This window comes from Homo sapiens, chromosome 4 (genome assembly GCF_000001405.40).
Source record: "Homo sapiens chromosome 4, GRCh38.p14 Primary Assembly".
Classification (NCBI taxonomy): Eukaryota; Metazoa; Chordata; class Mammalia; order Primates; family Hominidae; genus Homo; species Homo sapiens.
The window spans coordinates 109267810-109294787 of NC_000004.12; the positions used below are offsets into that span (position 1 = coordinate 109267810).

Sequence of the window (26978 nt, forward strand, 5' to 3'; positions counted from 1 at the left end):
AAATACTTCAGGTCCCAAGCATCTCAGATAAGAGATACTTGACCTACATAAAACAGTCTAAAAGAGCTTTAATCAAATCTGACTTCATCTGACGTTTGGATCTAGTCTATATTGTCTTTCCTTAGTCATGACATACATCAGTCAAGATCGCTTCATTATTACAAAAAAAAATTTGCATTGTAGGAGAAATAATTTGGAGAGAAATCTAAAACTTTAAAATGTCAAGCTAAATTAACCATAAAATCTGCACTGCAAGTAAGTCATTTTACTGATTGAAAACTCACATTTGAACATGTTAAAATGAGGTGTGAATATCTGCAATATATTATAAAGAGCACATTGTTTTATCAAAGCACAATTACTTTTGTCACAGGTAATAGCATAGGCATTAAGAAATTTGGGCGACTGAAGAATGTCTGCAATAATCTGAACATTTTCCTTTTTCTTTGTTTTGCTTTCTTTTCAGGAGACTATTAAAATTAGATAAGCATTTATGTCTATTTTTTCATGATTCTTGTATCCATTTGATGCTGTAAATTCCTGTTGTTGTGAGGTGAGAAAATGACGACCACTGCCCAAGTTTATAAAGGATATGGAACACAGCTACTTGCATGCATAGGACAACCTCTAGAGAAACACACAAGTTATCAGTTACTGTGATTTCTTCTGGGTAGATGAGCAGTTTGGCTTAGGGGTGGGTAGGACCTCTTTTACCTTTCTGTTCCTGTACAATGAACCTGTGTAAACCTTTTAAAAACAACAAAATATTCTAAAATTAAATATATAGAGCCAAAGACACGTGCAAATTTAAAACTATCATTTATGAAAAAGATTACATGTCAATCACGATAACCTAATATGTATAAACCAGAAGTAATTTCTAAAGAAGATTTCTTCCACTGCTCAAAGGAAACAAATCGAGATGCCTTGAGGCACAGCAAAGCTAGCCCCAACGGTGTGAGCTGGCTCAACAGAAGAACAAGCTGCCTAGCTAGTGAGACCAAAGGCTCCCTCATTCTAAGGAGATCACTTTCTCAACCAGGAGGCTTCCGGTAGCTCCCTCCGTCATGGTTACCTCACTGTTACCATCCTTCCACCCATCCCTATAAAGATGCAAATTCTTTTTCTTTTTTTTTTTATACTTTAAGTTTTAGGGTACATGTGCACATTGTGCAGGTTAGTTACATACGTATGCATGTGCCATGCTGGTGTGCTGCACCCACTAACTCGTCATCTAGCATTAGGTATATCTCCCAATGCTATCCCTCCCCCCTCCCCCCACCCCACAACAGTCCCCAGAGTGTGATGTTCCCCTTCCTGTGTCTATGTGATCTCATTGTTCAATTCCCACCTATGAGTGAGAATATGCGGTGTTTGGTTTTTTGTTCTTGCGATAGTTCACTGAGAATGATGGTTTCCAATTTCATCCATGTCCCTACAAAGGACATGAACGCATTATTTTTTATGGCTGCATAGTATTCCATGGTGTATATATGCCACATTTTCTTAATCCAGTCTATCATTGTTGGACATTTGGGTTGGTTCCAAGTCTTTGCTATTGTGAATAATGCCGCAATAAACATACGTGTGCATGTGTCTTTATAGCAGCATGATTTATAGTCCTTTGGGTATATACCCAGTAATGGGATGGCTGGGTCAAATGGTATTTCTAGTTCTAGATCCCTGAGGAATCGCCACACTGACTTCCACAATGGTTGAACTAGTTTACAGTCCTACCAACAGTGTAAAAGTGTTCCTATTTCTCCACATCCTCTCCAGCACCTGTTGTTTCCTGACTTTTTAATGATTGCCATTCTAACTGGTGTGAGATGGTATCTCATTGTGGTTTTGATTTGCATTTCTCTGATGGCCAGTGACGGTGAACATTTTTTCATGTGTTTTTTGGCTGCATAAATGTCTTCTTTCTGATACCAAAGCCGGGCAGAGACACAACCAAAAAAGAGAATTTTAGACCAATATCCTTGATGAACATTGATGCAAAATTCCTCAATAAAATACTGGCAAACCGAATCCAGCAGCACGTCAAAAAGCTTATCCACCATGATCAAGTGGGCTTCATCCCTGGGATGCAAGGCTGGTTCAATACACACAAATCAATAAATGTAATCCAGCATATAAACAGAGCCAAAGACAAAAACCACATGATTATCTCAATAGATGCAGAAAAGGCCTTTGACAAAATTCAACAACCTTTCATGCTAAAAACTCTCAATAAATTAGGTATTGATGGGACATATTTCAAAATAATAAGAGCTATCTATGACAAACCCACAGCCAATATCATACTGAATGGGCAAAAACTGGAAGCATTCCCTTTAAAAACTGGCACAAGACAGGGATGCCCTCTCTCACCACTCCTATTCAACATAGTGTTGGAAGTTCTGGCCAGGGCAATTAGGCAGGAGAAGGAAATAAAGGGTATTCAATTAGGAAAAGAGGAAGTCAAATTGTCCCTGTTTGCAGATGACATGACTGTATATCTAGAAAAACCCATTGTCTCAGCCCAAAATCTCCTTAAGCTGATAAGCAACTTCAGCAAAATCTCAGGATACAAAATCAATGTGCAAAAATCACAAGCATTCCTATACACCAACAGCAGACAAACAGAGAGCCAAATCATGAGTGAACTCCCATTCACAACTGCTTCAAAGAGAATAAAATACCTAGGAATCCAACTTACAAGGGATGTGAAAGATGCAAATTCTTAAAGGGCAGGTCCTTCTCCTAGAGCCTGCTCCTGGAGAATACAGTCTAGCACTGCTTCACGACATCTCAAGGATTTTGGCACACTTGGTTACTTCTCCACTCTTGAGTTCCTCAGTTACTCTGATCTCATATTTTACCACGTGACACTAACAGTATATGGAACCAAGCCCCTTTTGCACAGAACTAAACCCATTTATTTACTCAGTAAATATTTTTTGAGACTATACTATGTGTCAGGTCCTGTGTTAGGCACCTGGAAAACCTATGGCATATAATTACTTCAATAAAAATTAGAATCTAAAGATCATAATTATCTAATATCTTGCCAGCATAATTACTATAACTCACTTATTGAATCCCCTCCTATGGGCCAGCATTGTGCTAGAATGCCTACTATGCATTATTTCTAATTCTTAACAGATATTAGCCTTTCAGTTTTATGGATCAGGAAACTGAGACTGGAAGGATTTTAGTAATTTGCCAAGCCCAGAGAGTGGGTAAATAGCTGAGCCAGAATTAGGGCCAGGTCTGTCTGGTTCCAAAGCCTGAGCCCCTTCCACTGGCTACACCACTGCTGCCTCAATGGAAAATAATCAAGATTCTTTTTGCATCAGTTTTGAATATAATGCTATTTTTCTTTTTTATTATTATTGTTACACAAAAATACTTAGCTGCAAATTTCCTAGTAATGTAGAAAAGCAAAACTAAAATGTAAATTTAATGAAGGTCAATAAAATAAGGTTCTTGGTTAAAGGAAGCTGGAAGAGAAAATGCCCAATTTTATAGTGTACTAAATTCTACTTCACCTAGCTGAAAACTATATTACATATTTCCTTTGGCCTTCTTTTCTCTTTGACCTTAAATAAGCAGCTAATAAAGAGAATAAATAGTCTTTCCCTTGGTAAAATAAATTAGGTGAATATGGTTCTTTCACTTAGGTGATGAAGCACTCCCAGAAGACCAACTATGTCAACATCCACCCTGTCTTCACAGTAATGTGAAAATCCTATCTACCATCTTGGATTTGCTCTTTGGAGGCCTAAATTTTCAAAGCCTCTGTAATTCATTATATTAAATGTTATTGAGTGTCAGTCACCTGCTATGAACTATGCAGAAGAGAAATTTGCCCAGCATCTTTCCAGGGAGTTCTTTACATCAAAAACTTCAACCCTGAACACCACAGTGATTTTTCATACCAATGATTTCCTTCTTACTTCAAATTTTAAGATGGGGGTTAAGAACCTGAGGAAAAAAGTGTATAATTTTATAGTATCACACTAAACTTTTTCAAAGAATTTGCAGGAAAAAATTCCTCTCAGAATTCTAACAATGTTTTTATTGTAAGTGGTATTTTCAGTAAATTCTCATTCAACTTGTTATAAAGTGCATTTTTGTAAATTTTTTTAAAGTTAAAAATCAAGGGTGGGCATGGTGGCTCATGCCTGTAATCCTAGCACTTTGGGAGGCTGAGGCAGGTGGATCACTTGAGCCTAGGAGTTCGAGACCAGCCTGGGCAACATGAAACCCCATCTCTACAAAAAATACAAAAATTAACCAGTCATGGTGGTGTGTACCTGTAGTTCCTGCTACTCAGGAGGCTGAGGTGGAAGAGTCACCTGAGCCCGAGAGGTCAAGGCTGCGATGAGCCATGATCACCACAGCACTCTAGCCTGGGCAACACAGTGAGACCCTGTCTCAAAAATAAATAAAATAAAAATCAAAGTTATATCTCTTTTCAGTTATATTACAACAAAATCATAGAGGAGAATGAAATTGTTCATTGATGTGTGCCACACTGTGTAAATGAACTGCCACTTGCTACATGCCATTATCTAAATATACCAACTTGTTACTGCCCTTTCAGAGCCAAATTTTAAAGCAGGAATACATGCTGGAAATCATTTAATCCAATTCCCTCATGTAATGGGTATAGAACAGAGGGAATTATGAGAGTATTAGCTAAGATTAGCCAAATAATCTCCTTTGTAATATGTGTTCACTGGTGTTTGTATTCATTTCCCAACTGTTCATAAAGTTCTTTGAAAGCAGAGTTTTTCCATCAAATGGAAGTTAAGTATGTACTATGGACAAGGCACTGTGGGAGTTAGAGAGGCCCAGAAATTAAATAATTGAGATGCAAAGTGGTATTACTATAAAGAGCAATGGATCAAGGCCTAATAGAGCTTCCAACCATGCTTGGAAGATTTGCAGGGAGCGTTATCATCTGAACTGACATTTGAGCATGTCATGAAGTATGGGTAGGCATTTACCAGGCAGAGAATGAGAGTGCTGAACATTCCAGGCAGGGGAGACAAAGTCACACAACAGGAATACAGCAGGTCTGAGGGAGTGAAGGCCTCCATGGCTGGGTATTAAGTACGGTGTCAAGTGAGACAGAAAAGGAAAGTTAGGGTCAATTTGGCTTCATCCAAAAAGCAATGGTGAAGGAATGGAGGTATTTAAGCATTATATAACATTTGCATTTTAGAAATACCCCAATATATGCCCCATGAAAAATCAACTGGGGAAGGGAGGATGGGAAAGGGGAAGGAGGGTATATGAACTAAAGACAAAAGGGATGAAAAGAGGTCCGATGCCACAAATAGTGTTACTTTCTTTGTAATCCACTATAGCCATAGGCTCACTAAGATACTTCATTCTTACCAGATTCTCAATTGATTAAAAAAGCAAAGATTATAGTAATTGTCCTCATTACTAAGTAGAAATCTTCCAATAAAAAGTAATGAGATTTTTTATTTAAAATTAATCGTGTAAAAAATATATCCCCAATTGTTTATTAAACTAGATGCTAATAATTGAACATTTTAATGTACCTGAAATTGCTAAGTGCCATGCAGAGTCTTATACAGTCCTATAGAAGGAGCAAACTGGCACTGAACTACATCAGTAAATTAGGTTGTTCAATAATCGTTAATACACAGAAAAGTAATATAACCTTTATATTTCTTGTTTATTAGAAAACGATAAAATGCCAACTTGTCAAAACAATATGTTCTCATATGATTATTACTTCTGAATAGATATAATTAGTTGGTTGAAAGCAATTATATTTGACCCAGTGGTTTCCAATATTATCAAAAGTACTAAAGACCACCTTTCTCAGTTCAACAGCAATCCTATTTTAAGGCTAATAATCACTCTGTGCATCAGCAGAAAAACCATCCTTATAATTAGAAAAATAAGACACTAACACCTCCACCTTGGGCAAAGAGCCTTACCCCTGAGCCTCAGTTTTCTTATATGCAAATTGCGATAGTAATGCCTGTCAGACCTACTGTCCAAGTTATTGCTTGGAATTAAATAAGACAATTAATATGAGATCAATTATAAACTGTAAAAAAAATGAAAACAAATTAAGGAATCTTTTAAATACACCAAGTTGTTACTGCCCTTTCATAGCCAAATTTTAAAGCAGGAATACTTGTTGGAAATCATTTAATCCAATTCCCTCATGTAATGGGTATAGGTGGCAAAAAACGGAACTATTAATCCTCTTTCCTCAGAATTCAGAGCACACACTGTTGGTATCACTCACTTGAAAATCAATCTTGGATGGTGTCATATTCCTTTGTATATACATTGCATCATTTTGAATTTTTCAAAGTATCTTTTATTTTCCTTTCAATCAAATGTTCTATTTACATTTTCAATTAAAAAAATGATAATCAAAAGTTCAAAGTCTATTCTTCCAATTCTCTAATTAAACATACCCTAATTTTCTGTGTACAAATTACTTTCATCACAAATTTCTAAGCCATAAGGATGGACATAACAAAAACAGATGAAAAGAAAAACATATCATTTTATAAGATTCTAATAAATCAGCAGCTATTCTTTTTAGCTTTAGACTGGTTTACAGAAAGAGAAATGATTTCCTCAGATTAGTTAACAACTATGGAAAGATTATTTATTTCCATATAATGAATAGCTAATAAAGAGTCTTCCATCTAATATTTTATATTAACATTGTTGAATATCTGGAACATATGCCAAAATATCCCAAAGAAAAGAGATAAACACTTTAAAATGCTAAAAATTATCTTGCCAATTACTTTTTGTTAAAACAAATAATTTAAGAATTCATAGAAATATGCACAGCTATCTTTTTCTTTTTAAAATTAAACTAAGTACTTAAGACCCCTGAAAATATTAATTGGAAAATGACATTTTATATATAACTAAAAAATTACAAAATTCAGCAAGTTAAACTGGCACAATGGATATTTAATAGCCTGGTACGAAACATATGTCTATAATACAAATTGTCTAGGAATATTACACTGTGAATCTTCTTATATAACACACGAATAATTAACTCTCTCTATGAAAATTTTCAGTGTGTGTCGGCACAGTAAAACCATTGATCATATATTACTGCAAATAATTGAGACCCAGAGTTTTTGGTTATTGAACTTCCCTTTCATTGTATTTAAAATACAAAATTAGTTTTTACACAGAAGGTACATGTATACACAATGGCCCTCTTTGTGAAGCCAATGTTTTATTAAAACCCCTTTTTGTCACTCTACAAAAGGGCACTCTAAGCCTACCAACAAAACAGCTGAAAAGAACAGCAGCAATGAGTAAATGTCCCCCCGCTGGGTCTACAAAATTGTATGTTCCCCTCATGAAGAAGGCGTGCATGTAGCATGGCTGGGAAGCAAGTGCTGGGTCTATTGTGTATTGTGTATGATCTCAAGTAGAGAAAACCATCTGTCCTTTTGCCCTGAAAAAGGACCCCCTGTGAGCCTCTTCTCACGAGCCATTATAGTTTCCTTCAACCCTGACACTAAACAGGCTTTGAACTGACGGCTATGTGACATAAAAAGTTCATCTCTAGCTATTTTTCCCCAGAGGTTTCATAGGGTTTAGGCTAAGGTGCCCAATCATGTCCTAACAAAAAGATTAGTGTGTCCCAGCATAAAGTGACACAGAGATGTGTGACCCACTTGCCATACAGAATAGAGAACAGTGAATGTAGTCAACTACAGAATATGCAAAGGCGCCTGAGGGAAAAGAAATGAGGATGGCTGAGGGCTTCTGTCTTCACTTGGAAACAAGTGCTCTTTAATGCCAACAAGCATTCTCTCAAAGAGTTGTAATGATCCTGTCTCCTTCACTCTTTCTCCAAGAAATATTCATAGAAACGACTATTCCTATTTGACCCCAGGCAAACTTAAAACTGGAGTGCAACATTAGGCTTCTCTCTGTAAAGTTTTTTTTAGAAGGCAATCACTTGGTAAGGTTGTTGAATTGTCACAGTCCCTAGGGTTTGTCTAGCTACCACCCTGATGCCAAAATGGCAAGAGGCCTTCTACAGCATTTTCAGAGAAAGTCATGTGAGCATTTTCCTTCCTCACAACCTCCCTCCACCACCCTTGCTTCTCAATCCACTGGGCAAACACCTACCCATTATTCAGTGTTGAACTCAAAGACAACCTTTTCTGTAGACTTCCCTGCTCACTCTTCTCCTCCATATATACTGCTGTCATAGAACTGATAACATTTAATTATCATTACATGTTCTTACTGGATGATAAACCCTCAAGGATAAAGATTGTCTTATTTCTTGGCCAGGCGCAGTGGCTTATGCCTATAATCCCAGCACTTTGGGAGGCTGAGGCGGGTGGATCACCTGAGGTCAGGAGATCAAGACCATCCTGGCTAACATGGTGAAACCTCATCTCTACTAAAACTACAAAAAATTAGCCGGGCATGGTGATGGGTGCCTGTAATCCCAGCTACTCAGGAGGCTGAGGCAGGAGAATCACTTGAACCCAGGAGGCGGAGGTTGCAGTGAGCCGAGATCGCGCCACTGCACTCCAGCCTGGGAGACAGAGCAAGACTCTGTCTCAAAAAAAAAAAAAAAAAATTGTCTTATTTTTTACACATCTAACACAGTACTTGCCATAGTAGGTGCTTAATAACTATTTATAGTATAATTCTTTGGGGGGAAATCTTACAAAACTGGGTTTTATTCAACTTACTGAGCAGAAGAGAGCACCACCTTGAAGAAGCCTTAGCAGGATCTCCAACAGGGTAGAAGAGGTTAGGGAAGGAAACATTCAGGGTTTTAGCGGCTGGTGTCAGTCATAGAGTAGTTTCAGGGTAATCAGTTTCAGTTAGTCAGTGTGGTCTAGGCAGGAATTGCTCTGTACTGCAATTCTTGAATTCTCTCAATGATGGCGAGCCCACCACATGAAAAGAAAGCCATTTTTAAACAACCTTGTTAGATGGGAAAAAATTCTCTTATTTTCAACAGAAATGTGCTCCCTGTTCATTTCCACTCCGGGACCCAAGTTCTGCCCTGTAGTAGAAATAGCCCACCACACACTGGAAGACAACCACCACGCTTTCCTTAACATCACTACCACCAACCACTTCTAGCTCTTGTCCTTTGCAAGCTAAATGTTTCCATTCTCTTCTGCTGTTATTCCTACAAGATAAATTTTAGATGCTTTCATATTCATTGCTCCCGCCTGGAACTGCTCTAGTTTGTAACCACTTCTTTCTAAACAAAACAAAATACTGCATGCATGATTCAAATTGTGCATCATGTAATAGAACTACTATTTACTTTGCTCCAGGAACAATATTGTTATTAATATTGCATTAATTATTCCCCCTTAGCCTTCTCCTTGTATCCCTCTCTCCATGCTTCTAAAAGGGATGATTAAAAACTTCAATAGAATTTAGGAACTCTGTTTCCTCAATGACCAGGTATTTAACCAAACAGAGAGAAACTTGTGTATAAAGTCCATTATTATCCATATATTCATACTAATTTAGAGCTTTTGTTAAAAGTCACAGATTACAAGCAGTTGCTTCAAGTAATTAGCCTGGTTGAAAGACAGAAAGCAAGAGTGGGGCTAGGGTGGGAGCTGGAGAGTGGGGGAGGAAAAATCTTAACTGAATTCTTCAGTTTTGAAACAGATTTTTTAAAAATTTTCTCTTCTGAAAGTATCTAGCAACTAAATTAGATTTGTCCTATATGAAAATATCAGAACAACGTCCCCAGACAACCTGTATTTTCATACACTTCAAACAACAAATAAGAGTCTTTGTTGAAAATACCAACACATAAATCACAGAAAAATTTCACTTAATAGTAAATACCCTGGGAATCTTCCAGAGAACTTAGATTATATAGGATTTCTATGTATCCATTTCTGATTCTACAGTCCAATATTTGAGTTTTCTGGCCCAATTAATACATTTTATTATTATGTTACACCATGACTTGCATGTAAATATAATTTCCCATTTCTAGAACTGCAAACAAAATGTGCTATTATTGGCCGGACATGGTGGCTCAAGCCTCTAATCCCAGCACTTTGGGAGGCCGAGGCAGGTGGATCACCAGGTCAGGAGATCAAGACCATCCTGGCTAACATGGTGAAACCCCATCTCTACTAAAAATTCAAAAAATTAGCCAGGCATGGTGGCACATACCTGTAGTCCCAGTTACTCAGGAGGCTGAGGCAGAAGAATCGCTTGAACCCAGGAGGCGGAGGTTGCAGCGAGCCGAGATCACACCACTGCACTCCAGCCTGGGCAACAGAGCGAGACTCCATCTCAAAAAAAAAAAAGAAGTGCTATTACTTTAATGAGCTTGAGCTGAATCAGCATATCTATTCAGGTCACCTCTCTACAGCACAGAAATAGAATTTGATCTATATAATTTCAAATCCAACATAATCTACTTGTCAGAGAACACGCAGCTATGTAGCTTTATAAATGTTCAGTGATTATATCCTTTGTCTGGCATTCATATTTCTTATATGTTGAAATGGTATCTTACAAAAAGAAATATTTGGCAGTTTCATCAAAGAAAAAGCCTGGATGCCTTAAATTATTAATTTGTATTGAATTTAGTCCTATAATTTTTTGGAAAATGTTTTATATGTTTTTCCTAAGAAAGTTACATTTGTAGAGCTGAAGGTCCGTTGGCCAGCTCCTTGAGTATTCTGAAAAACTAAATATACTATCAAATATATATGAAATGTATTCTTATGAAAATTTACAATACAATACACTGAGTACTTAGGCCTGGCTAATTGCAGGAAATTGCCTCCTGTTAATGACGTAGTTAAAACAAGAATATTGTCCCCATGTAACACCTTCTAGTTTCAATTCTGTTTATAAAGAATTTGGTGACTCGGCATAATGTTCACTTCCCTTAAAGGACTCTCTCTTCACAAATGATTCATTTTTAAGAAAAGCTTCTTAGTCCTTTAGGCTGTTCTAACAAAAATATCAAAAACTAGGTAGCTTATAAAATTAACTTTTATTTCTCACAGTTCTGGAGGCTGGGAAGTTGAAAATCAAGGTGGCAGCAGATTCAGTGTCTGGTGAGGGCCTGCTTCCTCTTGAATGGCACCTTGTAGCTGTGTTCACACATGGTGGAAGGGGCACGTCAACTCCCTAGGGACCTTTTTATATGGGCACTAATCCAATTTATCTGGCCTCTGTCCTCATGAACTAGTCACCTCTCAAAAGACCTACCTCTTAATTCTATCACACTGGAGATTCATTTTTAACATATGAGTTTTGGGCGGGGGGATGGGGGAAGACACAGACACCCAAACCACATCAAAAAATCAGTTTATCCTCCAATTTGTTGTAACTGGTTCACAATTCTATTTTAATTTCTGCATTAATTATATGGCTTACTGTAAGATTTTCATAGTCAAGGACCCAGGAATGCAACAGATTTTGTGTTTGGCCAGAAAGAACGGAATTTTAGGATTTTTAAAAAATATACCTCTCCGGCTGGGTGCAGTGACTCATGCCAGTAATCCCAGTGCTTTGGGAGGTTGAGACCATCCTGGGCAAAATAAAGACTCCATCTCTTCAAAAAATTAGAAGATTAGCCAGGTCTGGCTAATCTGCACACCTCAGTCCCAGCTGCTCAAGAGGCTGAGCTGAGAATCGCTTGGGTCCAGGATTTTGAAGCAATAGTGAGCCCTGATTGTGCCAATGCACTCCAGCTTGGGCGACACAGCAAGACCCTGTCTCAATCAATCAATTAAAACAAAAAATATACCTCCCTCATAATTAGAAATAAACTGTGAGTTTTGAAAAGTAAAATGTTTATAAAAGTTAAATAAACTAATATAAATGATAAATGTGTACATAGGCACATACACGTGTTGAAAAGCTTTTATCAATTGTATTAATTATTTTTTGTTAATGAGCCATATCCACAACAACCGTGTGAACATTTGCCCTTTATTCTACTATGTATCTACATTTCCTTTTTCTCCAGCATCCTGGAGCTTTACTTTCCTATCTTACATTTGTTTTCTGTAGACCAAATCAGTTCTGAAAATTCTACATTTGGGGTAGCAACATGAACAGTCTGCTCTAATAAAGAATTCTCAATCTGATGATCCTTAGGATACTGAAAGATGAGGCAGGGTCTAAGATCTAGCAAAGGGTTTACTTTGTCTTATGAGGAAACTAGAGTTCCTGGAGCTTTCCCACAGGTTTGGCCTGCACTACCTGGACTGGTCTATCTGGGTCTGCTATAGAAACAAAGATAAAAATTAAAAATGTTAAACACTTCGCAGGACTGAACAATGAAAATGACAACATGATTAAATGTTGAGGCTTCCTTTCTCCTGATCACCAGTGTGCATTACTATATGTTCAGAAGAAGTTTAGAGACAAAAAACACCTCAAATACCCATCAACTCAGACTATTTTAAAAATTACACATCCATTCAATGGAATTCTATTCAGATATTAAAGCAGCAAAAGATGAGACAGCGTCATCTATAAAACATTCTTGCCAAAAATGTTTAACCTGAATCTTACCAACTTTACGGGAAACATAAGGAATAGCAGACAAGTGAAATAACACCATGCATAAACAAATAAATTGAGAACATAGAACGTTCTAACAAATACAATGCACAAACTTTGAATAGATCTTGGTCTGGGGGAGAAAAGTTAGCTATGAAGACATTCATGAGACCATGGTGGAAACCTGAATATACACTGAATATTAGATGACATTAGGAAATTATTTTCTTAGGTATGATTATAGTATTGTGGTTATATCTTTAGATAATTCATGCTGAAATACTTGTTTTGTTTTGTTTTTTTTTTGAGACAGAGTCTTGCTCTGTCGCCCAGGCTGGAGCGCAATGGCAAGATCTCCGCTCACTGCAACCTCAGTCTCCTGAGTTCAAGTGATTCTCCTGCCTCAGCCTCCCAAGTACTACAGGCAAGCACCACCACACCCGACTAATTTTTTGTATTTTTAGTAAAGATGTAGTTTCACCATGTTGGCCAGGCTGGTCTCGAACTCCTGACCTTGTGATCCGCCCACCTCGACCTCCCAAAGTGGCTGAAATACTTAATGGTAAAGTGTCATAATATCTACAACTTACATTTGAATGGTTCAACAAAATGTATGTGTTTACATACACATGTAGCTATAGATATAACAGATATAAATATGTAGATAGACAAAGGAAGCACATCTTAAAATGTTAGACTTTAATATTAAATAGGAAAAGAAGTTAATTAATTAATTGGGAGAGTACAAGAATACACTTTACAAAACAGTATGCAAAGGACTCTTCTAAATAAGTGTAGTTAACTACAAGCAATATATATATTAGTTACCATTCAATAGTTTTCAAAGAATAAAATTACAATTAAACTAAAGCTGATCAGGGAATTGCTTAACTTTTCTTGATTAGCCAGAATGCCATCAAGTAACCATACAGTACAAAGGTTGTTATAAATTGACTTAAAGTCATTCTCCAAAAACTGTTTTCTTGAACATACTTCCACATCAGCTCCTATATTTTTACAATTCCGTTATTTTCCTTAAAATGGCAAAAAAAAAAAAAAAAAATCTAAATTCCAAATAAACAAGATTTTTTTTGAGTGGGAGGGATGGAAAGAACAGTTATTTTGACATTTTAGGCTCCTTTTTAATCAAACAGTAGAAATTTTAACTTCTACTAGCACTCCACCAGTCAAACCACCTTAGGAATGTTTAGGTGATCAGACAGTCCCTTCTAGAAGGCACCTGGATATGAGCTGGTTGTGACTAAAGGGATAACAGTGGTTGTTAACTACTAATAATCTACTCAAAACCATATTTTATATGCACAAAGCTCAATAGCATTCAATAACAGAAAAAGCCACTTCCAAGTTGTTAAATGTTTATTCCATGGTTATTAATCTAATCATTTTGAAGAAAACTGGTCTAAAAGATTATACCCATCTAGTTAATAAGGAGTAATGCTAAAGCAAAGATAACTATAAGAGGGTGTTTTCTTTTAAAACTATACCTTTATTTTAGAGCAACATAAGCACTTTTGTTTGTTATACTACTAAACTTACTTCCTTAAAATCACTTTCCCCCAAGAACAGTGAGTGCTCTTTCTAAGTCACAGTCGAATGTGCTATTGTTAATATAATCATAAATTCTCCTAGCTGAGCCTAAGGGTGTATGTCATTATGCCATGCTGCAGGCAGCAGAAAACCAACCCAATGGGAAAAATGATGATTTGCACAGTTAAATTATATTTTTGCTTCAAATTTGTTTTTAAAGCTAGTTCATCTCTCAACGAAATCATTTTTTTAATATGAACACTGACATTCATACTAAGCAATTTTTCAGCTACTCTAAAAAACACAGTAAAATGTTGATGGATTTCTGGCTGGGTTTTAAATCCAGCTCCCCAAAGAGTAAGAACAACAGAAATGAAAGTTCCTGCAAAACCTTCAGGACAAAACATCAAGAGTGATTATTATTAACAAAGATACTCCTTTGATCTTAGATAACTACAATGTTTTCCCCTCTATGGCACAAAAATGGAGCCAGTAGCAGAAGTGGAAAAGAACTAAAAGGTGTTGCATAAAAATGAGAAAAAATAATGAAAAAGACAAAGCTGAACCCAACAAAACATCACTGATTTGTGGCACAGTGGAAAAATGAACTGAGATTTTGGTAGGAATTCTGAGAAGTTGTCATTTAACTATTTATAGAGTCAAGAACTGTTAAAGATATTCTTCAATATCATTTGCTAATCATTTATACTATGGTTATATCACCCTGCCTTTGAGAGTTCACCACAGTGCTGGTGGGGATACCTGGAGATCAGAACTTTCTTTCCCTGGCTAATGTGCCATTTAGCTGTTCACATTATGGGTTCATAAAATTAGAACCAGTAATTCCACCTATAGGTAATTATCAACATGCACGCAGATATATTAAGTTTGCTGTGTTCTAGATATGAAGTCTTGAGAACACTCGCTTAAGCTATGTATTGTTAAGGCTACTTGATTCAGACTATACATAAAAGGCTCTGATGAAACTAAAATATTTATTGTACCTAATTATGACTAGTTACTATCTAAACTTTATTACTATTGCTCTATGCATGGTAAAGCACTGAAGAAAAAAAGGATAAAGATCATATTTTTAAGGAAAGAAAAATACTATAATGTTCTTAATGAACATAAGAACAAGCTGTATACTCTGAAATGTGTCACACACAAAAACTAAGCAGCATTAAGTAGAGAGGATAATTGAGTTGAAAAGGAGAAATTTATATAAAATATAAGTTACTTCTTTTTTTCTCCAAACTGAAAATATCCCTGTGTATTTGAGTTAGAGAGCTGCTATAGCTTAGTTGGGTCACTGAACAAAATGCGAAAGTTCAGGCTTTAGACCTCACTAAAGAAAAAGGGTCTCACTCTATTGTATAGGCTGGAGTGCAGTGGCATGGCCATGGCTCATATAACCTCGAACTTCTGGGCTCAAGCAATCCTCCTGCCTCAGCCCACCAAGTAGCTGGGACTACCGGCATGTGCCACCATACCAGGCTAATTTTTTTTCTTTTTCTTTTTCTTTTTTTTTTAAGAGAAAGGGTCTCACCATGTTGCCCAGGCTGGTCTCAAACTCCTGGGCTTAAGTGATCCTCCCACCTAGGCATCCCAAAGTGCTAGGATTACAGGCGTGAGCCCCATCAGCTAGCAACGTGTTTTTAAAAATTACTTGAATGCTTTTAGGTAGGTCTTACAATCCAATCTGCTGACAAGATAGCCTAGTCTAACAAACTTCACACAAGTGTGTTATTTGTCTGACATTTGAGTTTGCCATCTGGCTTTAGACTTTAGTCCAACCCAGAGTATCTTCATTTATACTAACGTTTCTTCCCCTTCTCTTCCATTTCTTCCTGCTTTCTAGAAACTCATCAAGCCCTACTTCTGAAAGTTGAGAAACACTTTCTTTACTAACCTTAGACTATCTCAGCTAAAGTTCTGCAAACCTCCAAACTACTTCCTTCCAAATATCCCCAGTGGAAAACATCTATCAACCCACAGAACAGTTTACTATTAGTTATATTATTTTATCTAAGTGGGAAAAAACAGTGTTCTATGACCAAAAACGTTTGGAAAACATGCTGTATTATATTCTCCAGTCTGGAGATTCACAAGGCACAAAACCTACAGTAAATAAATCTGCGTATATGTGTTTAATTTAATGTATCTCTGATTTATTTGATCTTGAAAACCTTCTTCCTTACAACATTTGTTAACAATAAAAAGGAAATGGGACCAGGTGCAGTGGCTCACGCCTATAATCCCAGCACTTTGGGAGGCCGAGGCAGGCAGATCACCTGAGGTCAGGTGTTTGAGACCAGCCTGGCCAACATGGCAAAACCCTGTCTCTACTAAAAATACAAAAATTAGCCAGTCATGGTGACATGTGCCTGTAATCCCAGCTACTCAGGAGGCTGAGGCAGGAGAATTACTTGAACCTAGAAGGTAGAGGTTGCAGTGAGCCAAGATCGCACCAGTGTACTCTAGCCTGGCCTGGATGACAGAGTGAGACTCCGTCAAAAACAAGAAAAGAAAAGAAAAGGCAATGGTGCTCTGAGGAACACAGTTGAAAGCACTGCAATGCACGGAAGACAATTAAGTAAATGGATCACTGTAAAAATGCAATTCCAAAGGTGCTCATAAATAGATTATTGGCAACTAAAAGAGAAAAACTACCAGAAAGCCATGGGGCTCTGTGCTGAACTTTCTCACGCTTAGGCATTTTATTACAGAATCAGAAGAAAACACCATTAGTCAGTTTTCATCAAATTTCCAAGTCACATGAAGGCAAAGGAAGCTGGAAATTTATTGAAAGAATAATTATTCCAACAAATTCTGACAAGGCCGGATTTAGGTTTTATAAACACAGGTAAGTATTTAATAAAAATATATAGGTAGTCTTGAATTTGTCCCCCCATGCCCCACCCAGGAAAAAAAAAAAAAACCTATACAATAAAGAGTGAGGAAGACAGGACTTAACAGCATGTATAAAAAAAAAAACTTCAGGATTTTCATCAGTGCTAAATTCAGTATCAGCCAATAGAATTACGAGACCAGCAAGAAAGTTATTATAATTTTAGTCTGCTTAGTTAGCAGTATAGTTTCTAGAACTAGGGAAGTTTTTTTTCTCTCCCATTCTTGCATACACCTGTCAGGCCACATCTGGAGCTTCATTGAGAATCAGTTGCACAAATTTAAGAAAGAAATAGATGAGCTTGAACCTCTGAATGAATTAAGGGAATTTATTCTAAAAATAAAGCCATCGATAGGAAATATAATAGGTCATTTTAAATACTTGAAGAGTTATCATAGTACAGAGGTACTCAACTTGTTTTTTATGATGTAGAGCAAGAATGGTATACAGAATCAAATGATCCATGCTATATAAAGAGAAGAATTTCAACCTAACAAAAAGGTGAAGTTTTCTAACAAATTGTCCAAAATTGAAAGCTCTATTTCAAATGATAATCATAAATTCAATGACTTATGTCACCAACTATTATAGCCAGAATGTCACCAAGGGAATTCAAGTATCAAATGTAATGTATGTCTAGATAACTTTCAAACACACTCTCTCCAACACTGAGATTCTAAAATACTAGCCAAGGCAGCGTTGTCCCTTGGAGACAACATTATGACGAATAATGCAATTCACACAATCTAAAAAAGGGATTATCAGTGCCAGTGGTTGTGAGAAGCTGAATGCTGACTCGAGAGAGCTGATGGTTCAGCTTTCAGGATTTTGCAAGCCCATTGTTAAACACAGTGATTATTAAAACAAATTTTATAAACTTACTATTTAAAAATTACTCTAAAAGCAAAGCTAATAAACACTCAAATATCACTTCCTAACATTACTGTGTTAACTTGAAATCAATCCTGGTAGGATATTTACACCCGAAAAACTTGCAAATGCTACAAATCAGAGTTGGGTTGTTGTTTGTTGGTTTTTGTTTTGTTTTGTTTTTTGTTTTTTTGTCTGTTTGAGAGTGATTAAGCATTTATCAGCAGCATACCACATCAGTAATATCTTAGTCAAGAAGAATTGACTGGGCTCCCACATATACAGCTTGAGGCTGGTGGAATAGAAGTAGGAATCAAAGTAATTTTCCTCAGGAAACAGAAAAATTAGAAACAGGAAATAGTATCTGCACTTTCAAAAGTTGTCTGTCATCCTATTAAACTGTGGTACAATCATATAATAGTGTATAGCCTTCAAAAAGAATGATGCAAATCAATTTGTGTTAGGAAAATATGCAACAAACTACAGCAATAGACACCTCTGAAGAGAGATGGGATATTGTGTACCACTTTTAATTCAAATTTTTGCATTTTTGTTATATGCATGGAATCATTTAATAATAATAACAATACTATCATCAAACACAAAGAAAGAGTTCAACCTTGAGGTACACCTTGAGCATAAGGCAACAGAAGCAGCTATAATGTAGAGGAAAGAACAGCTTTGATAAAACAATAGAAATAGAAATAAAATTCTTAGGCCCCAGCAGGCACTATAATGGATGCCTCCCGGTGAGAAGATGATCATATATCCTGACTGTTCTGACTACCCTTCATTTCCTGTTCTTCTAAGAGAACTAGCTGCAGAGTATATATTCTTGCCTTTTTTATTCACTGGGAATAAGTAAAGAATGATTCTCAACTGGGAATGATTTTTGCTTCCTCTGGGACATTTGGCAAGATATGGAAGCAGTCTTGGTTATGGAAGCCAAGGAGTGCAACTGGCATCTAGTGGATAGAAACAAAGGATGCTGCTAAGCATCCTATGACGCACAGACCAGCCCCCCAAAATAAAGAAGTAACCAACCCAAAATATCAATAATGGGAAGGTTGAAAATCTATATACCACTGTTACTGAAGGCCACCTAATTCGATCTCTGTTCTCACAACCCAAGGGAGTCTAACCAAGACCCAGAGATTCTGCCTTCGCTAGAAAACATGACCACAGAGTCTGATCCAACATTTAGGAGGGCCAGCAAGGCTCCAATAACTGCCAGAAGGCATCTTGGGGAGGAGTTAAAAATGTGACAGTTGACCTAACAACTGGCAGAGATCATTTATCTCCAGAAAAACCATCTCATTGGTGTGTTAGCAGCATTTCTGCAAAGTATCATAATACACACACACAAAAAAATCCAAATACCAATTTCTCTGATAACATGTTACTATTTTTGAAGTCATGAAAAGTAAACTGGAATTATGAGTTCAAATACCAATTATCATTGTAGTTTTAAGTCCATTAAAATTGGATACGGTTTGCTACAGGCCATACTTTTGTAATTATTAATTCTATTGCAGTCTTCAGTCTGCTTATCTGACACCATTAGTTCTTCATCTAATGTTTAGGTGAAGAAATAAGTAGGGTTTAGCAGCCTACTTATTTCCCTAAACAGTCAGGCATTTGGCACAGGGTTTCACCCACAGTAAGTCACAATAAACATTTTATTAGTTAATTGAATAAAAAAAATTTTTAAAGGCTGCTATATACATGACCTTTCACCTTTGCCAGAGTCGACTGGCATTAGGTAATACCAGAGGTCAGTTACCATCCACAATATATCATTTTTAAATACTAATATCTAAAATGTTTAATATTTATAATTAGTCCCTCCTCTACCTAGTAGTAGGAGACAACCAGAATGTAACTTGCTTTTAAATGAAGATAAATATTTCCCTACAAAACCCACCAACCCACCTGTAGTTTCAATGGATTCCCCTCACCCATAGCCCCTATTCTGACATACTTTCTTCCTAGAATGTATAGGCAAGGCCATCATCTAGCTTCAGCCATTCTTCTGCCAGAATCCAAGTTGCCTCAGCCAAAAGGTGGCAGCAACTGAGACAGGCAAGAGCAGAGGAGAGCATCCACATACCTAGGAAGCTTAAGGCCGAGCTGTTTGAGGAGCTGATAAAGTGGGTTGCATGTGGGTAGAAGAGGTAAAGCAAGATCAAACAAGGCAGACCAATGGGAGACATATGGGCCAAGAATAGGCAAACAAATCTTTCGAAGTATGGATTAAAAACAATGTTGTCTGAAGCAACAACACATGCATGAGTAAGATGGGAACTGGCTGGAAGTATCCAAGAAAAAAATAAACTAGGAGATGAGATATCTGAAGTCAAAGCCAGGAGGGCCAAAATAGCAGCGTAAAATCCCAGAGGCAACCATATGCTCATATCAGGCAAATGCAGTCTACAGATGAATGGTTTCTCCATTCAAAAAGTTCCTTCAGTCCTTCCCCTTCCTCAGCCTTACTCAGGCCCAGGAATAACTAAGGCTTTCCTCCTCTACATCTCTTGCTAGTGAAAAAGAAAAAGGCTAGATATTTTTGTAGATTATGAAACAAATATCATTTATGAGCTCAAAATTTTAAATACAGTAATGGAGTTGGTATAACATGCTCTGTTTGCTCTGTTGCTAAATACACACAGTCAAAAATATAAGACAGGAGCATGGAATTGATTTACTCACAAATATTTTCTTTTCTAATCACAATGTGGTTCCCTGCAAAATCCATTATGATCAAAGATGCTCTTTAACCCCTTTGTTATCTTACTTTTCTGGTTTTTTTATATTAAATATTTATAATGGGCACTATTATTAATAGGGTGGTTCCCTGGAAGTACAGAAAAGGGAGAAAGGCTAATGTAACTGCCTGTACATAATTTTCCAAAACACAAAGTGAGGTCAGCAACTCCTTCTTTAACATTAGTGGAACTATTCATTGGTACCTAAATACAGGAAGCAGTGTCTTCCAAAGTGGTGTCTGCCTCAAACAAATTGTCAGTGTTACAATTTTCCATTTTACACTGATGTAAATCACACCAGTAATGCAAGCATAGCAATTAGCACCACCGCATGGGCCTAGCAGATAAAGTATATAAAGTCCAAACTCACAGGAACTGTCTTTTAAATAACTAATTTTAACAGAAATGAAAACATTCAGTCCCCCAAATCCATAGGTTAGGAATATGAAAGGAAACAGAATAATAAACAATCATCATTACTACCAGGAATACTAAATTATATATACACACACACACACACACACACACACACACACACACACACACATATATATACAAAATTTTTTGCTTACCTAAAGAACTGTTTCCTGTGTAGTTGCTTTAGTAATGTAGGAAAAAATTTGTACACCTATGGAAAACTGCATTGTCTACAGTACATCTTTCCTATGTATCTGATTCTGATTCTTTGAGAGCTGTTTTATAACTGTGTAAGTTGTAGATAATTAATAGAAAAACAAAATTACTTTTATCTATAGACATGCAAACTCTGAGTATAACTGACTTCCCACTGTGAAAAAGTCCGTTTTGCCTCCCTTTGTACATCTATTTCAATATTCCTGAACTAAAAATATGTATGTTTTTAAACTCTCCTTTGAACTGGTTATAACACCTTACTAGTTCCTTCTTTAATGATTTAAGTAAAATCTTTAACACTTGTTAATTTTACATCTGTATGAAACTCATAATTTTCTTTTTTGAAATTTATATTTTAACAGTAATTTTTGAGAAAATAATCAGCTACTTTTTGAAATGTAGGAGAAATATTGATATTTGCCATTGATGTTTTCTCAGTTATGCTGCTAAATTGAATCATGAATATAGCTATCACCCAGGAAAGGTCTAGAGGCTTTGGGACCCAAGGGTGATGAAGCTCCAAATCAGAAGCTGACAGTAATCCAGGTAAAGTGTCATCAACAGAATGGAGGCAAAATAGGGGTTCTATCCATGCTAGAGAAAGGGAGGGAAGATAGGGGAGCCCCCTGAGTAGAATGGGGTTCTTATTTAGGAACATAGAACATCCTCTGTTTTTGTAGTTTCATAGCTATATGGCTACCTCCCAAAGACAATCCTGTCCACTCTGCTTGCCAACCACGGATCACGTTAGGGCAATGCTTGTTGATTAAGGGCCTGTTTGCTGTATTTACTCTTGGTTTTTTAGGAATCCAATGAACATTATTCTCATCACATCCTATAATTGTGAAACAGTGTGAATGTTTAAAATGCTAGCAGTATATGATTAAAAATAAACAAAAGTACAGATGTAATAACTTGAAAATGATGAGAAAAAATGATGTATGATACATATATACAGGGGATACATGTTACTGATTATACAATTCCTCTGAGATTTCTTCTTGAGGATTGATGATGGAAGCAAGGGTTTTCTGCTCAAAAAGATGAAAGCTTAAAAGAATAAAACACATTCTGACTCTAATGTGTCATGAACTCACCCACAGAATACAGAAAGTATACCTCAGACTTCTCCATTCAAGGGCATTTTTTGCTATAAAAATAAATGAACCTTTTTTTTAAAATTCCAAAAATGGTAAATAAATTTTACCACCAATATATAGCATTCCTCATATAGAACTTGGTTGCAGAACCAAGCCAATATTCAGGAAAGTGTCCTCAGAAATAGCTAAAGCTTGGATCATTAAATAATTTTGTACAGAGGAAATTATATGCAAGTACATAAAAGTCCTGGTCTCTTTATGGAAGGAATTTCTCAATGCTAGAGGTTTGGGGTTTTTCAAATTAAAAACTTCCAGATGCTTAACATGTATGGTAGTACTAAGTCACACTTGTCAGACTTGCTGCTTAAAATCCTGGGAAATTGTCAGTATGTCTATAGGGGTTGGGAAGGAAATTTAGGAAATACAGTTTGTTTAGTTAAGTCTCTTTTTTTGTAGTTTATAATAGCTTTGGTTGGCATGTATCAGGGGCGTCCAATCTTTTGGCTTCCCTGGGCCACATTGGAAGAATTGTCTTGGACCACACATTAACATTAATGATAGCCAATGAGAAAAAAAAATTGCAAAAAGACTCATAATGTTTTAAGAAAGTTTACGAATTTGTGTTGGACTACATTCAAAGCCATCCTGGGCCACATGCAGCCTGCAGGGACATGGGTTGGACAAGCTTGGCCTATATGGTCTTTCCAGCCTTTCTTACTTGTTCAACTTTCCTATCTTTGTTGCTTTACTGATAGTCTTTTTGCAGAAGACAAAGTAACCAGTTAAAAAAGAAGTCATTTTCTCTTCCAGTCTTCCTTGAAGTCCATACTTTGAGACTGTGTATTAAAGAGAAAATAAATTGCTCATCAACACTTGATAACTTGTAGAACTGCTGTGTCATTCTGTGTCCTACCAGACAAGTGACGAAGGTGCTTCACTTAGCCAAACAACTGTCCACAGCTAGCTACTCATACAGTAAACAGTGCTGCTGATGACAGTGGGCATTCATTTCAATGCGAGGTAGAGTATTGTCTTTCAAATTTTCTTTTGCAGTACTTATTACAGTACGATTGCAGCCAGATTTATACTTTCTATGTGAAATGTATTGTATATCTTGCTCACTATTGGCTAAAATCCTGTTAATTCCTAGAGACTTCTTCCTAGTACTACTTATGTGCAATTCATGTATTCTCATTGTGCCATCAATTTAAATTTCAATATACAAACATCATCATTTTTATACACAACCAAAAATCAAATCAAGTAAGAAAGTCTCAGAGATCTTAGAAGTATCTTTAGAAGATCCTAGAAGTCTTATAACGTATATTTTCTATAAATAACATAATTTAGGGGAGAGTTATTTTTCATATACTACCTTGTGGACTAAATATTAACTATTCATCAAAAAATCAAGTGCTTTAAGTAAATACATTTTAAAAGAATGAATTGCTGTAACTTGGTAATAAAGCTCCATATGAATATCTAGAATTAAAAAATAAGTAAAAATATAAGGGAAGAAATTTGAAGAAACACAGAAAATTGTCATTAAAAGAACAAGAACAATATTGTCACTTGAAGTCTTAAAAAATAAGTGACTTTAAGAAAAAGGATGAAGTGAGATGTAGATTTTTCTAACGAACAGTACCATGCTCAGTTACACAGTGCATTTACCCAGCTTTCCTGTGACACTATTATTACATCAGCTTCCTTGCTAGAATACTCTGACCCATTAAAGAGATGATATTATATGAATAGTCACTTTTAGACTTTAATTTGAATACATAATTTTACTACCATCATCTAGTCATGCTTACAGTACAGTATTTCAAAGATCACTTCTGTGTTGACAAGTGTAAGTCCTCTGGGGCTTGGACTTGCATTAATTTTCTAATAGTGTCCTATGGAGTCCTAAGGTTCTTTGGAGATGCCTCAGGGGCCAGCATCGGGGAGAGAGGTGGGCAGCAGAAAGAAAGCATGGAGGCTATTGGCTTCTGCCTGCTCTAGTCTCTGAGGTCAATCAGTGTAGCTAACATTGCTTCCAATTTCATATTATGGGGTTTCTCATATAATTTCATTTTTAAAAAAGGTTCAGCCTTTTAAAGAAATGTTATAAAATCCCTGTACTAATTAATCTCCGAGATTTGTATTAGTTTTAATATGTTATGGCTCACAAAGTTCTCAGAGAAAATGTTTAAAAGGCATGGGGATGAGAATAGTAATGCATGGAAAGAGATGCACCATATTAAAAGCCTCAACCCACATTTTCAGATCTTCATCATAAACATCTTGCTGTTTTACAGAGAACTTTCTATAGAGAGCTCTACGATGAGCCCTAGAGATACATAGATACAAACCAGAGCCCCTGCCAAGGAGTTCACAAGTGAGATTAGTAATACAGCTGTACCATGAGACCGCTTATCTGGGAAGAGACTGTAAGTATATCTATGGGGGTTTGGAGAGCCCGTAAGTGACACTGGTAGTAGAACAGAATTATACCATGAGACCACTTACCAGTTAGCATGTGTCAGGATCTGCCCACAAAAGTCACTGGATCCTTGACCCACTTAACCCACTTGATTCCCAATCAAGTTGATAACCATCCTGAGAAAAGCAGTTATTTAAGAAGCATTTTTCCATTTGAACATCATCTGCTCTGACCTTGTGCCCTAATTCTTTCAGTAAAAAATGATTTTTAGTGTTCCAAAGTTCACTTAGGAGCCCTAGAACCGGCCAGCATTTCTGGCATGACTTTAAAGTAAAAGCATTGGTTTTTGAATGTGGTTTGTGGAAATCACTTTCATCTTATGATCATATCATATATTATCTTAAAATGCCAGCTGGAATCTGGAGTCCCTGAGATGACAAATTGGGGTTTCATAATTCCTGGAAGGGTAATACAAACAACTTAACCTTTGACAGCTCCCAGCATTGACCTAAGACATCAGAATGCTAAGAAATGGATCAATTTTCCTGACATATTTCACTGTAGCATCTTAAAGATCAAAAATGGAGGTATAATACAAAGCTATAACAGAGAATTCCTCTGGCTCCCTAACTATTGTCCAGAATTATATAACAATAAGAACTCTAAAATATCAAGCTTTCTAAGTATGATGATAAAGAAATATGATTCTGAGAGCTAAGGGGATAAAGGGGGCTTTTTCCTCCCCTCTTTTACTCTCCTTACACGTGAACTCTTTGGTAAACAAGGGAAAAAATAGACTTTACCCCTTCCCTGACCAGCTACTTTTAGTTAGACAGATTCTGACTCTCAATATTACCATAATGTACAAACTAGAGCTGGCTACAATTCATACAATTTACTCAGCCACTTAGCCTAAATGTGAAAATTGTGTTTTAAAATGTGCTGACCACACTTCAAATACAAGAATAAAAACATTGTGTACATAAACCAGGAAACTAGAGCTCCTAAAATCTAAATGATTAACACGCAAATGAACAGACATAGTCTTGGTATTCATGACAAATAAGGTCTACATCTACTAAATATGACTTTATAGCAAAAAGATGAATTTAGCAACAAGACTAAATAACACAATATGAAGAAAAATAAAAAATGCGCTTCAAATCTCATATTATGTGGCAACTTAACATTGAAATGAAGACTCCAGATGACATTATGTCAAAAGCATGACAGTGATTCCAAATGATTCTGGATTTTGAGAAATTCCAAAATGTAAGTACAAAATCCTCAACAGGTAAGTTCAATTACATTTAGTTCATTTATTCTATCTACTGGGACACTAGCTTAAACTTCATATCTGTGAATTTATCTACTAAATGAACTATTTGACTAATATAAATGTGAAATCTACTAGATGCTTTTAAATATCTTAAAGCTGATAGGACACTAGAGTTTTCAAATATAGGTGGAAGAAATTCCTTGCTTCCTCCATGAATCTTTTTCATTGCAAACAGAAGTCAAAAGATAGAAGTCAGCTAGGGGTTTAACTGGGAAGGAGGCAGAAGAGAGGAAGTACGCTATTCAGCTCAGTTCCTCCTCCTAGAGGTCACAAAGGGGAGGTGCCTGCCATCTGGTGCCATTTCCTCAATGGCTCCTTTCATTTAAATGAATCACAGAATAGTCATTTGGAGGAATATATGATGCCAATGAAAAGTGCTCAATTTTAATTTGTAAGTGATTTCCACTTACTTCTGCTTCTCACTCTTCTATACTTAACTTTTTTAAAACAGTCAATTTTAAAATAATATTTCTTAATTGCAAGATTTCTGAATAAATCCCAAATGAAGCAGTAACTATCCATGTCTAAGAATTGAGTATGTGGGCATACTACAGTAATTTTTAACACAAACCAGGGAAAAGGTGCTAAATATCATGGTGCGTTAAACCACCACATGGAACTTCACCCATATTGGCAAACCAGGGAGGCTGGGGATGCATCTATATTTAACCATTGCACACTAGGCTATAGCCGCAGCCCGGATTGACTCATACATTGTTTTCACATTCTCAGCTTCCTTAAAACCACCAAATAATTGTTTATAAAGTGATAGTATGAAATAAAAACCTTTTTCATGATAGGTTCTGGACGGTTTCCACTCAGGATAACATAG

The 26978-nt window shown here is 36.4% G+C and overlaps 1 protein-coding gene across 7 annotated transcripts in view, besides 1 other annotated feature; it reads right to left on the bottom strand.

The window, feature by feature from the left end:
- Positions 1–26978, bottom strand: part of COL25A1 (collagen type XXV alpha 1 chain) — a 493934-nt gene that overhangs the window by 459085 nt on the left and 7871 nt on the right. The window lies entirely within an intron of this gene.
- Positions 8884–8933: a silencer, noted in NCBI's record as "silent region_15620". NCBI's record gives its function as "represses an Ori minimal core promoter by ATAC-STARR-seq in GM12878 lymphoblastoid cells {active_cell/tissue: GM12878}" and the evidence as "EXISTENCE:reporter gene assay evidence [ECO:0000049][PMID:35858748]".